Source organism: Homo sapiens, chromosome 11 (genome assembly GCF_000001405.40).
Source record: "Homo sapiens chromosome 11, GRCh38.p14 Primary Assembly".
NCBI classification, from domain to species: Eukaryota; Metazoa; Chordata; class Mammalia; order Primates; family Hominidae; genus Homo; species Homo sapiens.
In genome coordinates, this window is record NC_000011.10 from 63,834,390 (window position 1) to 63,850,906 (window position 16,517).

The 16,517-nt window shown below is 49.8% G+C and overlaps 1 protein-coding gene and 1 pseudogene across 4 annotated transcripts in view, besides 3 other annotated features; one reads left to right on the top strand and one right to left on the bottom strand.

The window, feature by feature from the left end:
* Window positions 203-655, bottom strand: ATP5MGP1 (ATP synthase membrane subunit g pseudogene 1; annotated as a pseudogene).
* Window positions 3,407-4,395: an enhancer, noted in NCBI's record as "H3K27ac-H3K4me1 hESC enhancer chr11:63605268-63606256 (GRCh37/hg19 assembly coordinates)". NCBI's record gives its function as "activates a minimal SCP1, AML or CMV promoter by ChIP-STARR-seq in primed H9 embryonic stem cells {active_cell/tissue: H9 hESC(primed)}" and the evidence as "EXISTENCE:reporter gene assay evidence [ECO:0000049][PMID:30033119]".
* Window positions 4,656-4,805: an enhancer, noted in NCBI's record as "active region_4875". NCBI's record gives its function as "activates an Ori minimal core promoter by ATAC-STARR-seq in GM12878 lymphoblastoid cells {active_cell/tissue: GM12878}" and the evidence as "EXISTENCE:reporter gene assay evidence [ECO:0000049][PMID:35858748]".
* MARK2 (microtubule affinity regulating kinase 2) overlaps window positions 4,721-16,517 on the top strand; it is a 71,911-nt gene continuing 60,114 nt past the window's right edge. For all 4 annotated transcript variants that reach the window (NM_001039469.3, NM_001163296.2, NM_004954.5 and 1 more), the window contains exon 1: window positions 4,721-5,171. In NM_001039469.3, the coding sequence (NP_001034558.2) occupies window positions 5,118-5,171 (54 nt within the window). In that variant the 5' untranslated portion in view covers window positions 4,721-5,117. The remainder of the gene's footprint in view (window positions 5,172-16,517) is intronic.
* Window positions 4,816-5,055: a silencer, noted in NCBI's record as "silent region_3447". NCBI's record gives its function as "represses an Ori minimal core promoter by ATAC-STARR-seq in GM12878 lymphoblastoid cells {active_cell/tissue: GM12878}" and the evidence as "EXISTENCE:reporter gene assay evidence [ECO:0000049][PMID:35858748]".

A 16,517-nucleotide genomic window follows, 5' to 3' on the forward strand; every position in this document is an offset into this window, starting at 1 on the left:
ACTCAGGAGGCTGAGGCAGAAGAATCTCTTGAATCCTGGAGGTGGAGGTTGCAGTGAGCTAAGATTGCACCACTGCACTCCAGCCTGGAGACAGAGGGAGACTCCATCTCAAAAAAATAAATATATAAATACGTAAATAAATAAATTTAAAATTTGAAATGTTTTTAAATTTAAAATTTTTGACACATTTTATTCAGATAGTAGTCTGATCACATATGGTCTAAGAACAGTCAAATCATAAATCAAATATAAATCAAATGTTAAAGATGGATCTTCAAACATTGTAGCCAGTGATGCCACACTCACCTATGATCTCTGTGACATAAAACCACATCCACACCCCAGTGACCTCTGAAACATTCAACACAGCTTCCTTGACTGTGAGCTGTTTGAAGCTACCAGTTTGAGCGCTATTGACTTTTTTTTCCAGGCCCTGAATAACTCTAGGGATCTCAGCAGGGTTTGGAGGAACCAACTCCACCTCGGCGTAGTACTGAAATGTGGCCAATCAAGGCTTCAACTGAGTCACAGCAGCGTTCACCAGTACCAGGGCCTTCTCTGGCGAGGTGGTGGACAAATCAGGTCATGGTTCTAGGATGGAAAGTCTGTCGCCCCGAAGGGCCCGCTGAATGCCAACACCTCCCGGCAGTTTTACTCTCTGTGTGTGTTTTGTTTTCAGTTGTTCAGGCGGGAAAGCCTGCAATCGTCTTTAACTCCCCTCTTTCATAACCCCAACCCATCCGAAAGCCTGTTGGCTGTACCTTTCAAATATGTCCCAAATCTGATCACTTCTCACTACTTCCACTGCTGCTGCCTGGCCCCAAGCCACTGGCATCTCTCCCTTGAATTGTTGTAAAAGCCTCCTTGCTAGTGCCCCGGGTCTGCTTCTGTCATGCCCTTTCACTCTGTTCTCAGCCCAGCAGCCAGTTAGATCATGTTACTCCGGCGGCAACTCATCCCACTCCCAGGGAAAACCACAACGGTAGCCCACCAGGCCTGGTTCCCGTCGCCACACACCTACCTCCTCACTCACTCTGCTCCAGGCTCATTGGCCCCTTGCTCTTCAAACAGGCCAGGTATGCTCCTCTGGCTGGGTTCCTCTTCCCCTAGATGTCTGCAGAGCTCATGCCTTCACCTCCTTCAAGTCTTTTTTTTTTCTTAGCCTCCCAAAGTGCTGCGATTACAGGTGTGAGTCACCACGCCCGGTCTCCTTCAAGATTTTACTCAAGTGTCACCTTCTCAGTGAGGGCTCATGAACCCCCTCAGTACTGTAGCTTGTCTTCCACCCTCTCACCCCTGTAATCCTGGCTTAACTGGCTCTGTTTTTTTCTGATATCACTTAATACTGACTCTTTTGTTTGTTGTATGTCTTCCTCAAAATGAAAAGTAAGCTCCCCAAGGGCAGAGTTGTTTTTTTTTTGTTTTGTTTTGTTTTGTTTTGAGACAGAGTTTCTCTCTTGTTGCCCAAGCTGGAGTGCAGTGGCGTGGTGATCTCGGCTCACTGCAACCTCTGCCTCCTGGTTTCAAGCGATTCTCCCGACTCCACCTCCCAAGTAGCTGGGATTACAGACGCCCACCACCGTGCCTGGCTAATTTTTTGTGTGCTTTTTTTAGTAGAGACGGGGTTCCACCATGTTGGCCAGGCTGGTCTCGAACTCCTGACCTCACATGATCCCCTCACCTTGGTCTCCCAAAGTGCTGGGATTACAGGCATGAGCCACCGCGCCTGGCAGGCAGAGATCTTTATCTTGTTCACTGATCTACCTAAAAGCCTAAAACAATGCCTTGCACATAGTAGGTGCTCAGTAGGGATTTGCTGAATGAATAAATGAATTTGCAGATTTAGAGAGGGGGTAAATGTGTGGCAATAATTCATCTTTGAGGAGAACTAGGAGGGTTCATGGATTTGAGTAGGTGAGATTTGAACTGGATCTTGAAGTGGTTCTGGAAGCTGAGGTGGATGATGGGCAATCATCTATCAGCTTGACCAAAGGCATGGAAGTGAGAGAGACTGGCAGCGGGGTAGGAGTTAGGGAGAAGTGTGATCAGTGATAGTTGGAGAGGTTATTGTAAGGCAATGTGAGGCCAGATTGAGCAAAGTTTTAAATGCAGGCTAAAGGCTTTTCCTACAGCCAGGACCAGCTACATAATTTGTGGGGCACAGTGCAAAATGGAAATGCATGGCCCCCTTGGTCAAAAATTTCAAGATAATGGGCCGGGCGTGGTGGCTCACGCCTGTAATCCCAGCACTTTGGGAGGCCGAGGCAGGTGGATCACTTGAGGTTGGGAGTTCTAGACCAAACTGGCCAACATGGTGAAACCCTGTCTTTACTAAAAACACAAAAAATTAGCCGGGTGTGGTGGTGGGCACCTATAATCCCAGCTATTCAGGAGGCTGAGGCATGAGAATCACTTGAACCTGGGAGGTGGAGGTTGCAGTGAGCTGAGATCGCACCACTGCACTCCAGCCTGGGAGATAGAGCGAGATTCAGTCTTAAAAAAAAAAATTTCAAGATGGTGACAGCAGAGCATTAATCCAAGCTCAGGGTCCACCTGAGCACAGGGCTCTGTGTGACTGCATGGGGTCGTGGGCCCAAGAAGCCAGCCCTGCCTATAACCAGTGAGGGAGCTGGTGATAGCTTTCTAGCAGAGCAGAGATGTTATTGGAGCTGGACTTTGGGAAGATTATTCTGACATGTCTGGTGCAGTAGGTTGGAGGGAGTCTAGGCGGGGAGACAAGCTCAGCAGCCTTGTGCAAAGCTAGCAAGGAAGAGAAAGGATAGGTAGGGTAGGGGTTGGGGATGAAGGTCAAAGGGCAGGGGTGAGGCAGGGGTTAGAGCTAGAGTGAGAAGCTTGGAGAAGATGGAGTCTATTTAGACGAGAGTGTGGACCAGGGAGAGACTGCTGGAACACCAACCACCAACTGCTTCCTCTCTCTTTTCCCTGCTTTCCAGACCCTGGCATTAGAGGTGATACCAGGCACAGGAATCAGCAACGTGTCTCCCTTTGGCCACCAGAGGGCAGATGATTCTCAAGGATCGAATTTGGGTTGGGGAGTGAGGTGTTCTCTGTCCTCCTCTTCTCTCTTTCCCTCACCTTCATGGGTGTGCCTTCACCTTCTTCCTCAACGGTTGGGTGCCTGAATAGAGCTGGTATGGGGCATGGGGAGCAGTGCTGAAGTCCCAGGATTTACTAAGAGTGTAGTGATACCTGTTGCCTTAGGAAGTACTTTCATACCCTGGTAATTACATCTGCTCAGATGCCTATTTCTCTGATTGATGGGATGAAGGCTGGCTCAAGATGCTGTAGCTGGGAGTTGGAGGTCAAGTAGCAGGGGTCCAATCAGCAGTTTTCCCAATAACTCCTGGAGCCTCTCTGCTCCTGTACCTTTGGGAACCTGTTGCCTGAGTCTGGTTTCTGACTCCTGCGGGGCCTCTGCCTCCTGCCCACCTTAAGCCACTGATGGGAGGGTGTGGTTCCAACGTGTTCCAGGTACTATGGGTGAGGACAGCTTGGCGCTGGGGAAATCAGCCCAGGATACTCCCTGTCCTTGGTAACGCAGTGTAAGGGGAAGTGAGGAATGGACTGCAGTTGCCATACAGACTTCCTGTTAGTCAAGGGCTCTCCAAAGCTGAGAAGGACCTCCGAGTTCATGAATCCAATGGCTTCACTTTACTGATGGGGAAAATGAGGCCCAGAGGAGGAAAGAAAAGAAACTTTAAATGCCTTATCTTGCAGAGGCATTTTAAAAGGTAACTGGAATTCAGAAATGTCATTTTGAATGTCAACGCAGGAGCAAAGGCAAAGGAAAGAGGAGCCTAAACTCAGTGATGTTATGTGATTTTTCCAAGATCACGCAGCATTGGCACTTGGCAGAGCTGGGGCTGAAATGCAGGGCCCTGGACGCTCCCGCATCCGGTGCAGAGGACGCTGCCCTGGGCCTGCCTGGGGCCTTGCCGAGCCCTGCGGACTAGATGCGGGAATGCACGGATGAATCCACAGAAGCCAAGATAGACGGTGGCAGACAGGCAATAGACTGATGCTGCATTTGACAGGTATATTGATAGGCTAGATGATAAAAAGAAGATGAATTTTATGAGCTGACCGACAGATGGACAGAAATGCAGACAGGAAGCTGCTATAGAACCAGAGGATGCCAATCACAGGGACGGCTAACAATCTTGTTTTGTATTTAGTCAAATCACAAGCACAGACAGGTGACCCACGCTTCCTGTTCAAGGTTTGAAAATGCCCGAAAACTGACGGAAAGACACGAAGCGAATCAGACTCCGAGAGCCACCCGGGGAAACGACCGGGTGCTCGGAGGGCCTCGGGTGTTGCCGGAAATGGCCGACGACCGCCCTCGGCAGGGCTGTGGGAGGGGGCGTGGCCGGCTCAGCACGCGGAGCAGCTTCGGGTATTTCCGGAAACTGCCGAAAGCCCCCTTGAAGTGGGCGGGGAAAGGCCGGTGGGCGTGGCTGGATGGCCGTGGACGGGGGCGGGGGGTAGGCACCCGGGGTCGCTTCGTGGATTTCCGTAAACAGAGCCGAAGCTTCGTCTTCGGAATCGAGGAGGAGAGCGCGTCCCCGGGGTTTACCTTCTTCGGCTGTTTCCGGAATTCACCCGTAGTCTGTGGCCGGGAGGAGAAGGCGCGCCCCACCTCCCGTTTCTAGCCGCTTCGGATGTTTCCGGCTGCTGCCGGCGAAAAGAGCCGAGGGCCGGCGGTGGTGGCGGCCATGTTGGGAGCAGCAGGTCCGGCGGCGGCTGCCTGTGTGCCGGGCGCGGAGCAGTGCCGCTGAGGGCAGGGGAGGAGCGAGGCAGGCGGCCGGCTGCGGCGGCAGAGAGTAGGCGGAGCGGCGCGGCCCGGCCGAAAGGCGGCACAGCCCAGCCGGGGGTCGGGGGGGTGCGGTCCGGAGCCGCTCGGAGCCGGCGCGGCCTAGCCCGAGCGGCGCATCCCCGGGCTGGCGTGAGCGGCTGCCCGGCCTCCCCGCACCCCCGGCCGGGGCCCATGCGGCGGGTGCTCCTGCTGTGAGAAGCCCCGCCCGGCCGGGCTCCGCGCCTTCCCTTCCCTCCCTTCCTCCAAGCTTCTCGGTTCCCTCCCCCGAGATACCGGCGCCATGTCCAGCGCTCGGACCCCCCTACCCACGCTGAACGAGAGGGACACGGAGCAGGTAAGGAGCCCCGAGGGCTCCCCGAATTCTCTGGCTGGGCCCTTTGCACCTTGCGGAGCCTCCTCCCTCTTCTGCTCTCCTCGTGCCCCTGCTGCCATCCTGCAAGCCTCGGCTGCCCTGTCATCCGGCTCCTGGCTCCGGCTCCGCACATCCCGCTTCCGAGTCCTGACCTGGGACCCACCTCGTCCTGACTCCAAGCTGCACACTTGTCTTTCTGCCAACCCCCGTCTCCCCTCACCGCCCTCCTGCGCTCTTCCGTGTCACCTCCCCAGCTTCCCTTTCTCTTCCCTTTTTCTCTCAGGGGCCTTTCTGGTCTTCCTCCACCCACGCTTAAAGCAGCCACCCTCCCGCTCCTCGAATAGCAGCACCCCGCGATTTGCCACAGATCGTTGTCCACCTCTCCCTTCGTCTCTCCTGCCTCGCTTCCCCTCCGCCCGCACCGGTTCTGCCAGTCTCTGGGTTATCACCCTCAGGGTCCTTGCCCTGGACTGCGCTCTCGATCCCTGGCCCCTTGCAGTTCCCCCAGCTTTTTCTACCCTGCTTCTTCGTTTTCCAAATTGTGCTCTCCCTCTTGCTTGCAACCCACCAGCTCCACCCTCATCACCTTTCCAAATCCTTCGCCTACTCTTTGCTCATCACTTTCCCTTCTTTGCTCCAGGAGCTCCCTGGATCCTGGCGCTGGCATTTGTCGCTTCCGTGTTTCCCCACAGCTGTCATGCGCATAGTTTTCCCACAGGTTGCGTTTGGGGTTCCAATCATCACTCCCTTCAGAGTCTTTGGATCCCTCTTGTTCTCTTCCCCTCGGGTTTGGCTTTTAGGTCCCTGGGCCTCTTGTTTCTCTCTGTGAGTGTTCTACCAGCCTTCTACTGGGCTCTTTCTCCCAACCCAAAGACACTTGGCCCCACCGTATTAACACAACCTGTTGCTCAGTCCTTTCCCAGACCTCGCTGCATCACAGTTTTTGCCTTTCTGTCTTCGTACGCTGGAACACAAACCATGATGACTTTCTGTGTCTTCACTCCCGTGCCTGGCACTTAGAGTATTTTCTTTCTTGCTTGTTGCCTTCCTGTTTCTCCACCCTCACCCCATCTTCCTTACTGTGCCTTTTAATCAGCGTTGCCTTTCATCTCCGCATTAGTCTCCTGCCTTCTTCATGTCCTGTGTATCCCCACACCGTGCTTGGATCCATTCTGTTCCTATTGGCTAAGTCTCTGTAATGCCCAGGAAGTCCAGGTGTTTTGCATGCTAGTTTCTTGAGCTACACCTCAGCCTCACGACTCTACACGGTCCCCCTCATCCTGGCAGTCACTGCTATGTTTTTCACCCAAGTCTTAGCCTTTCTGTGTCATCTCACTTTTGATCCCAGAGACGTCCACTTTCCACACCTCCCCTTTCTTTCACCATCTCTAGCGTCCTTTGCTGACTGCTCTGTGCAGAGTCCCCTGCCTGTCATACCTTTCTTGGTGGAGAACTTTACTAGGCCAAAAAAACTTGACTTGAAAAAGAAGTGCTTCTGCCCCGGGGCTGCTGTGCTTTTTGCCTTCTTTCCCCTCCTTCCATCCTTTATGTTTCCCTCTTACTCCCTTCTTTCTTTGTAGCCCGGTAGAGCAGTTGTTGTATTCTCTTGCATGTGAACATTCTTCTTTGAAAAATCTTACCTCCTTTCTTTTACTGTGTTTTTCTATTTTGTTACCCCCTGGCCCTCTGTCACCTGGGCAGTTAGGAACTAAAGAGAAGTTCTAGGCAGAGTTTTTCTCTGCAGGGTTGACCCTTTTATTACTTGTGGATTATTTGCTTCTGGGGGTGAAATAGGGGTTGAGAGGGAGGGATGGTTGATTTCCATTTCATCACTGGGTTTGGCAGCTGGTTCTGCATGGGACAGGGGTCTTTGGAGACAGAGGAGCATGTTCTGTGTCTCGCAGTCTTTCTCTCCCTTGCCTACCGGCTGTTTCTCTCTCCTTACTGGGAATTGCTTTCTCTGGGCCCTCTTGAGGTTGCTTATTCCACCCATTTTCCTCTCACAACCTTTGTTTTAGCAGGTAAACCCTGCTTAACCAGAGAACTTTCCCAGACTGTTGATCGTGAGCTGGTAGGAGGAGGCCAAGTGACTGACTGGCACCCTCAGGCATTTGGGGAGTGGCGATGGAGTGCCTACTCTCAGTGAGGCTGGTGGGGGGCATTGTGTTCAGCAGAGCAGAGTAACAGACTGCCTCAGTGTGGTTTCTTTGTGCTGCTTACTACATGTAAATGTATTATTGCCATGGTATTTTTCCTGTGATGTGTGTGTTGATTTCCTTTCTTCCTTACATGCCTAGCATACTGCTGAGCATATAGTAGGAATTCCACCGTAGTGTGCATCCACTGATTCCATGATAGCAGCAATCAGTGACCATTTGGGAATGTAAGTAAGCTCTTTGCTCTTTGATAACTTTGCCCAGAGCAGTAGCTGCATACATTGTCATCCTGTTAGGATTATTAATTACCCATCCTATTTCTACTCTTTATGGACTTAGATTCTCCTTAGCCCCTTCATACCTTCTACTGTTGTTCTCAGGGTAGCCAGTCACTGTATCGATTTAATATTAAGTCTCATTCCAGTAAAAGCAGGGACTTTGGAAAACCTTGGATGCACCTATTCCAGACAGATTCCTGTATTCTTTTTTTTTTTTTTTTTTGAGATAGAGTCTCGTTCTGTCGCCAGGCTGGAGTGCAGTGGCACAATCTTGGCTCACTGCAATCTCCGCCTCCTGGGTTCAAGCGATTCCCCTGCCTCAGCCTCCTGAGTAGCTGGGACTACAGGCACACACCGCCACGCCCGGCTAATTTTTTGGATTTTAGTAGAGACAGCGTTTCACCATGTTGTCCAGGATGGTCTCAGTCTCCTGTCCTCGTGATCCGGCCTCCCAAAGTGCTGGGATTACAGGTGTGAGCCACTGCGCCGGGCCTGATTCCTGTATTCTTTAAAACGGGAAAAAAGACAAGCAGCAGCTCCTCAGGTCACAAGGCCAGGTATATCAAACACTGGCCTCCGAGAATAGATCATGCCACCAAGTGAAAGAAACCTCTTCTTGGTCCTGTTGTGATTTTAGATAAAGTAGTCATGGAAGCTTGGTCATTACTATAGTCTTAATGTTATTTTTTTTAAAAAGGGGATTTAGTTGGGCTGATTTCCTCCCCTAAAGGTCCTCTGTCACCTTATTTAAATTTAAAACTGGTTTTACCAGAAAATAGGTAAACAAACACCACTGGTTGTCTCCAGTCTCTTTTCTTGCTCTTCCTCTCCCTCTTCTTTAAAAATGTGGCTGATGAGAACCTGTTTCCAGGAGCCCTTTAATCACTCTGAAACACACAGACACTGAAAATGTTGAAGCATAAAAATAAACCTTGCGTTACAGGGAGATTGCCTGTGTGCTGTCCACTTCGCTTATAACAGTGAAAGTAGGAGATTAAAAAAAAAAAAAAGTTAAGCCCTGTCTTTAAGATGGTTTTTGTGACACCTGATTCCAGATGTGCTTTTTCACAGCCATAGACTTCCTGCTTTTGCAGAAGGAGGGTTCTAATCTGGGGCTCGTAGCTTGGGGGATTCTTAGTTTGTGAGCTGAGCTTTTTGTTCACTTCTTTTCCAAATGACTCTGCTGGCCTGAAGCTTGGCAGTTGTGAAAGCAATCAGCAAGATGACTGTTTGTCTTCCAGCCAGCAGCAGCAGTCACAGGCAAGCCTGGAGAAAGGTCCAGCTTCCAGAGTTCACCTGCTAGAGTTTTCCATAACACCTGGGGGAGAGGCTACTCCATCTGGGACCTGCCCCACCTCTGGGCCTCAGAAACTATGAGAGAGGGATTGAGAGAAAACTTGCCCCACTTCTGCTGCAGTGGGAAGGGAGGGGGCTGCTGTCAGGCTTCTAGGCAGTGAGCGGCATTGTTTATTCTCTCAGTTCTAGGAAGGGGAGTTTAGAAGTACTGGTGAAGAAAACAAAGTTACAAGATCCTATAAGGAACAGCTGAACTACTCCAAACACTCTCACTGGACCCCCATTGTTGATTCTGGATAAAAATATATATATATATAAAACTCTTTTTTTTTTTGACACAGAGTCTTGCTCTGTCGCCCAGGCTGGAGTGTAGCGATGCGATCTCGGCTCACTGCAACCTCCGCCTCCCGGGTCAAGCGATTCTCCTGCCTCAGCCTCCTGGGAGTAGCTGGGACTACAGGCGCCCACCACCATGCTGGCTAATTTTTGTATTTTTAGTAGAGACGGGGTTTTGCCATATTGGCCAAGCTGGTCTCGATCTCCTGACCTCAGGTGATCTGCTGGATAAATATTTTTTTTTTGCTTTTGGTGTAACTTAGGTAGATTGGATCGGCTAGCTAGCATCTCAGTCCACACTCTGAGCTGTGCAGCAGTGTGCCCTGGTGCTAATTCTCACTCTGTCCTTTGATTCTGGCCAGGGGGTCCTTGGTGGTGCTGCCTTCTGGTCAGGAATGTGGGTGAATGTCAGACCAAATAGTGTCACTTTCGGCTTGGCCCTAGAGATCAGGAAGGAAGTGTTGTTAGAGCAAGGGCTTTGGGAGTCCTTGGAGTTCGTAACCTTTGAATCTGAAAAGTAACTGTACCTAGTAAATTAGAATAATTTCTCTCTGGTCAGGCACCATGGCTCATGCCTGTAGTCCTAGCACTTTGGGAAGCCAAGGCAGGAGGATTGCTTGAGGCCAGGAGTTCAAGACCAGCCTGATCAATAAAGTGAGACTCCATCTCTACAAAAAAATTTTTTTAAATTTAGCTGGGCATGGTGGCACATGCCTGTGGTTGCAGCTACACAGAAGGCTGAGGCAGGAGGATGGCTTGAGCTGGGGAGGTCGAGACTGCATTGAGCTGTGTTTGTGCCACTGCACTTCAGCCTGGGTGACAGAGCAAGACACTATCTCAGAAAAAAAAAATTACTTTTCTCCAATTTATGGACTTCGGAAAGTAGCTAAACAGATGGATATAAGACAGTTGTTGAAACTCGGCCTGCTGCAGATTAAAATAAAGTTTGCACAAGGATAACTTAATCTTTCAGACCAACCAAAGTTTGGGCTGGAGATTTTTCTCAGCATAAATGTCCTAAGCAGAGTTGGTGCCTATGAGGTAGGAAAAGATTGAGACTTTGCTTGCCTAAGAGGTTTGCAGGGTTCGAGCTTTTGGGAGTCAGAACTTCTCAGACTAGATTGTTTCCCCTTTGGACAGAACAACCCAATTCTCAGTGGGCATTTGATCAGGACTAACCCAGGCCTTCATGAACTCTTTCCCATTGAGCACTTAGCCACCTGGCTGGCATTTCTCTTCTCCCAGGAGCTTCCATGAGGTTCCTACTTATGTATTATGTCGACTTGAATGAATATTTTATGTCTAGAGTGCAGCCAAGCCTCAGACTTTGTGGCCCATTATCGACAAATGGGGTAGGGGGTGGGCGCCACCTTTGGCCCCGTGATAGCTTCTCTGCTAAATGGACTCCCCCCAGCAGCACTTTGAAGCCCATTAATGGATTGGAATGAAGTAACCTCAGCAGATGGAAAGGGTGAGGAGGGTGGTCATCTTCCTTCCCTGAGACTGCCTGATGAGGCTTTCCTACAGTAACCAGGACAAGCCCCTATTCCCTCTGCTTGGTTAAGCTGTGGACTGGAGCTACTAGGCCTCTGCTTTGAGAGGAAGTATAGAAAGGATTTGATTCTCTTTTAGCCATGGTGGGGCCGCCAGTTTCCCCACTTTCCCATCAAAGCAAAAATTGAGAAGGATGTGGAAAGGGTGGGTGGAGTTTAAAGCTGGCCCTTCCTCCTTCAGTGGAAGTTCAGCAAAATGACAAACCAGATAGGTGGCTAAATTTCCTTCTCTTGATGGGAGATTCCAGTATTTGTACGTTTTGTGCTTGTAGCTTGGATTCTCCAGGCCTCCTCCCAGCTTTCATCAAACATGAGTGAGTCACTGAAGTGTTGTCTATGCATTTTCTCCCTTCTGTCTCTGCAAAGGGAAGAGTAAGCCTTTACAAACCTGTGGGGGAGGAAGTCACCCTCTTCCCACTGCTGGAGAGCCAGGCTATCCCCAGGTTAACCCTGAAAGTGCTAACTCCTGAGCAGAATGTTACTGCCACCCGCCCCCTTCCTTTTTGTTATAGGCCATTGAAGGTCATTGCTCGTCTTTTTTTTTGAGACAGTCTTGCTCTGGTCACCCAGGCTGGAGTGCAGTGGCAGGATCTCAGCTCACTGCAACCTCCACCTACTGGGTTCAAGCGATTCTCATGCCTCAGTCTTCCAAATAACCAGGATTACAGGTGCGCACCTCCATGCCTGGCCACTTTTTGTATTTTTAGTAGAGATAGGGTTTCACCATGTTGGCCAGGCTGGTCTTGAACTCCTGGACTCAAGTGATCCGCCTGCCGTGGCCTCTCAAAGTACTGGGATTACAGGAGTGAGCCACCGCGCCCGGCATCATTGCTTATCTTTTAGACTGAGATAGTACAGCTGATTCTAAACAGCACCCAGAGAGAATCTGGCCTCTTGATTTCCAGTTGTGTCTCAGAGGAGGAGGCATCCCAGTTCCTCCTCTTGCCCTCTAGACATCTCCTCCTCTGATAAGTATAAATAGGCTAGATCCCTTTATCTTCATATCTGTTTTTGTCTGGAATGTTTCAAGTTTCTCAAGCTAGGTGTGGTGGCTCATATCTGTAATCCCAGCACTTCGGGAGGCCACGGCAGGAGGATCACTTGAGCCCAGGAGTTCAAGACCAGCCTGAGCAACATAGTGAGACCTCATTTCTACAAAAAAAAAATTTTTTTTTTGAGACGGAGTCTTGCTCTGTTGCCCAGGCTGGAGTGCAGTGGTGCGATCTCAGCTCACTGCAACCTCCGCCTCCCGGATTCAAGTGATTCTCCTGTCTCAGCCTCTTGAATAGCTGAGATTACAGGTGTACGCCACTGTACCCCGCTAATTTTTGTATTTTTAGTAGAGATGGGGTTTCACCATGTTGGTCAGGCTGGCCTTGAACTCATGACCTCGTGATCTGCCTCAGCCTCCCAAAGTGCTAGGATTATAGGCATGAGTCACCCCGCCTGGCCAAAAAAAATTTTTTTTTTTTTTTTGAGACGTTGTCTTGCCCTGTCGCCCAGGCTGGAGTGCAGTGGCACGATCTCGGCTCACTGCAAGGTCCGCCTCCCGGATTCACGCCATTCTCCTGCCTCAGCCTCCCGAGTAGCTGGGACTACAGGTGCCCGCCACCACACCCGGCTAATTTTTTTGTATTTTCAGTAGAGACGGGGTTTCACCTTGTTAGCCAGGATGGTCTCGATCTTCTGACCTCGTGATCCACCCACCTCGGCCTCCCAAAGTGCTGGGATTACAGGCGGGAGCCACCGCGCCCAGCCCAAAAAAATTTTTAAAAAGTTACCTGGGTGTGGTAGCACATGCGTGTATCCCACCTACTCAGAAGGCTGAGATGTGAGGATCACTTGAGCCTGGGAAGTTGAGGCTGCAGTGAGCTGTGATCATGCCACTGCATTCCAGCCTGGGCAACAGAGTGAGACCCCATCTCAAGATAAATAAGGTTTGTCAGTCCCTGTGGTGGTTCTTTCCGCAGATGTCTGTCTTTGGGTTGGCACTTATTTCCCCCTACTTGCAGTTATTCCTTACATTTCTCATTAGAAAATGGCAAAAAGGGCAAAAGTAAATTCATTTCCTTTTTACACCAAATCATTAATTTTAGGCTTATAAAACTAAATGAACAGAAGATTTGGTAGGAGAGGAGGGGAGATGGACACTGATACTGGTGGCTAGGTGATCCTGAGGGACAACTGGTGCCTGGCAGAAAGAGAGGAGGGCTGTGTTCAGTGACTGGCTCCCAGCCACCTTTTTGGCCTTTTTCTTTTTAACATGAGGAAGGCGGAGCAGACCAGGGGCTTCTCTGTAGAACCAGTCAAGCTGGTTTTGGGCAGCCTTGGCCTATTTTCTTGTGTGCTCTTTGGGAAGTTGGCAATACAAAGGTCTGCCTCCTTTGGGGCTGTGTTCGTTGAGGCGAAAGTTTGGAAGACAACTATCTGTCAACAACCCCCTTCTCCCCAAACACTGAATGGGTCTCTGAGCTGGTCCTTCACTCCAGGGAGGAGGCTTTCTCTCCACCCTATGCTGAACCTGAAGGCAGCTTTGCTTTATACACCTTTCACTGAAAGCTCTAAGACATTAACTCCTTTTTTGGACTCCCTTCCCAATTCACAACTTGGTGAAAGACCCTCAGCCTAGCCAGGAGGAAGGGACTGGGTCTGCCTTTGGCTCCTCATTTATGGGTCTGGGAGGGGATCAGGACTCCTTACTGCTATGATCTGGCTGCTAAATTCAGTGACATCCCAGGCCTTTTTTCGTCCACGCAATGGGACTGTCTGTCCAGGCCTGCTGGGAAAGAAAAGAGAGAAAAAATAGTTTTTGCTCTTTGGCAGCTTACAGGGACTTCAGCCATAGGAAACAACCTGTAGGAAAGGTGGGAGCTTCCGGTCACCATGTGTGCTGACACTTCCTGCAATAGCACTAGGAAGTCTTTCTCAGGGAGCAAGGCCAGCCAGGTAGGATTATTTCCCAGTCTCCCAGCTAAGCAGGAAATGCCAAAATATGAACGTTTAGTAATTAGTGAGTGTAACTACCTGCTGACAGAGCTCCAGCCTAGACCTTGTCCTTGGGGGCTGGTTGCCCCTGTTGATACTACAGTGAGCTACTCATTGCTTCTGATTACCATTTCAGTATGAGTTTTGCTTTGGTTTCTGATATCCCATGTGCGGCTGCCTTTTTTCTCCACCTTCTTTTTGTTGTGTCTTTTTGTTTTTTTGAGACGGAGTCTTGCTCTGTTGCCCAGGCTGGAGTACAGTGGCACAATCTCAGCTCACTGCAACCTCCGCTTCCCAGGTTCAAGCAATTCTGCCTTAGCCTCCCAAGTAGCTGGTACTACAGGCATGTGCCAGCACACCCGGCTAATTTTTTTTTTTTTTTTTTTGAGACAGGGTCTCGCTCTGTCGCCCAGGCTGGAGTGCAGTGGCGCGATCTCAGCTCACTGCAAGCTCTGCCTCCCGGGTTCACACCATTCTCCTGCCTCAGCCTCCCGAGTAGCTGGGACTTCAGGCGCCCACCACCATGCCCAGCTAATTTTTTGTACTTTTTTTTTTTTTAAAGTAGAGATGAGGTTTCACCATGTTAGCCAGGATGGTCTCAATCTCCTGACCTCATGATCCACCCACCTCGGCCTCCCAAAGTGCTGGGATTACAGGCGTGAGCCACCGTGCCCGGCTGTAACACCTGGCTAATTTTTGTATTTTTAGTAGAGATGGGATTTCACCATGTTGGCCAGGATGGTCTCGATCTCCTGACCTCGTGATCCGCCCGCCTCGGCTTCCCAAAGTGCTGAGATTGCAGGCGTGAGCCACCGCGCCTGACCTTGTTGGTGTTTTTAAGAGACAGGGTCTCACCCTGTCACCCAGGCTAGTATGCAGTGGTGTGATCATAGCCCACTGCGGCCTCAAATAGCTCCTAGGCTCAAGTGATTCTCCCACCTTAGCTTCCAGAGTACTGGGACTACAGGTCACACCTGGCCCCCTCAACCTTCTGGACTTTTCACTCACCCCATCACTCCCTACTTCTCCGCCACAGAAGACTGTCATTGGCTATCTTTGCAAGTAGTATTGAAGCCACTCGGAGATTGTTGCTTTGTCTTTTTGCTCATGAAAGTTTGAATTACTGGTTCTCCAGTCACAGGAAGTGGGGCTCCTTAGGCCAGCTCCATCTCACGTAGTGTACTGATTATGTTGAGCTTATGGCACAGCTGAGAGGAGAGTCCAAACTTTTTGAACACTTTTTGACTTCCAATAAGTGGTTCCACTATGGTTAAGAGCAGGTTTGGTGGGCCGGGCGCGGTGGCTCATGCCTGTAATCCCAGCACTTTGGGAGGCCAAGGCAGGCGGATCACCTGAGGTCAGGAGTTCGAGACCAGCCTGACCAACATGGTAAAACCCTATCTCAACTGGAAATACAAAAATTAGCCCGGTGTGGTGTTGTACACCTATAGTCCCAGCTACTCGGAAGGCTGAGGCACAAGAATCACTTGAATCTGGGAGGTGGAGGTTGCAGTGAACAGAGATCATGCCACTGCACTCCAGCCTGGGCAACAAAGCAAGACTTTGTCTCAAACAAACAATAAGAGCAGGTTTTGCGGCTAGATTTCCTGTATTGGAATCCTGGATCATCCTCTCCTGTGATCTTAGGTTCCCTCTGTGTCTGTTTGCTCATCTGTAAAATGGGAGAAGAATAGTACCCATCTTATAGGTATAGCTGTTATGAGTATTAAAAGAGTTAATGAATAGAAAGCATTTAGAATAGCGCCTGGCACAGCAGAATGATCATTGTCATTATTGTTCCAGTTGAACAACACAGTGAATTTTATCTGAGCACCACACAACTCTAGGTCAGTATAAGGGGTGATGTTTGGGATTTCTCTGTAATCAGTTGAAAAAATCTTGTTCTGGCATCTTCAAGCCACTGGGGTCCTATAGGTGCTTTTTCTAACATTTCTGTTTTTTTGTTTGTTTGTTTGTTTTTTTGAGATGGAGTCTTGCTCTTGTTACCCAGGCTGGAGTGCAGTAGCACCATCTTGGCTCACTGTGACCTCCACCTCCCAGGTTCAAGCGATTCTCCTGCCTCAGCCTCCCAAGTAGCTGGGATTACAGGCACCTGCCACCATACCTGGCTAATTTTTTTTTTTTTTTTTTTTTTTTTGGATTTTTAGTAGAGATGGGGTTTCACCATGTTGACCAGGCTGGTCTTGAACTCCTGACCTCATGATCTGCCCACCTCGGCCTCCCAAAGTGCTGGGATTACAGGCGTGAGCCACTGCACCCGCCCTAGTTTGCTTTTTTACCAATCACCTATCTGAAAAAAAATGGAATGCTACTGGAGAGATTCATGTACTTCTGAGAACACTTTTAGCTCATTTTTTATAAGGCATCAATATTAGATAGTTTTCTTGATTAAAGAAAAAAAAACACCACCCACTGCCTGCCTATATTTCTGGGTTGCAAATGATGGCGGTGGATGTGCAGCCTCATCCGTGGCTAGAAGGCCAAATCCAAAGTCACCAGAGCTTGAGTTTTTTGAGAGTTGAGATCTGTGTGTCAAAGGGGAAGCCCTAGGGTGGTTCTCTGCAGCACCAAGAGCAGGGATTCATACCATCATGTTCCTTTCTTTTTTCTTTTCTCGTCTTTTCTTTCTTCCTTTCTTTTTGTTCTCATGAGTTCTCACTGTGTTGCCCAGGCTGGTCTTGAATATTTGGCCTCAAGTGATCC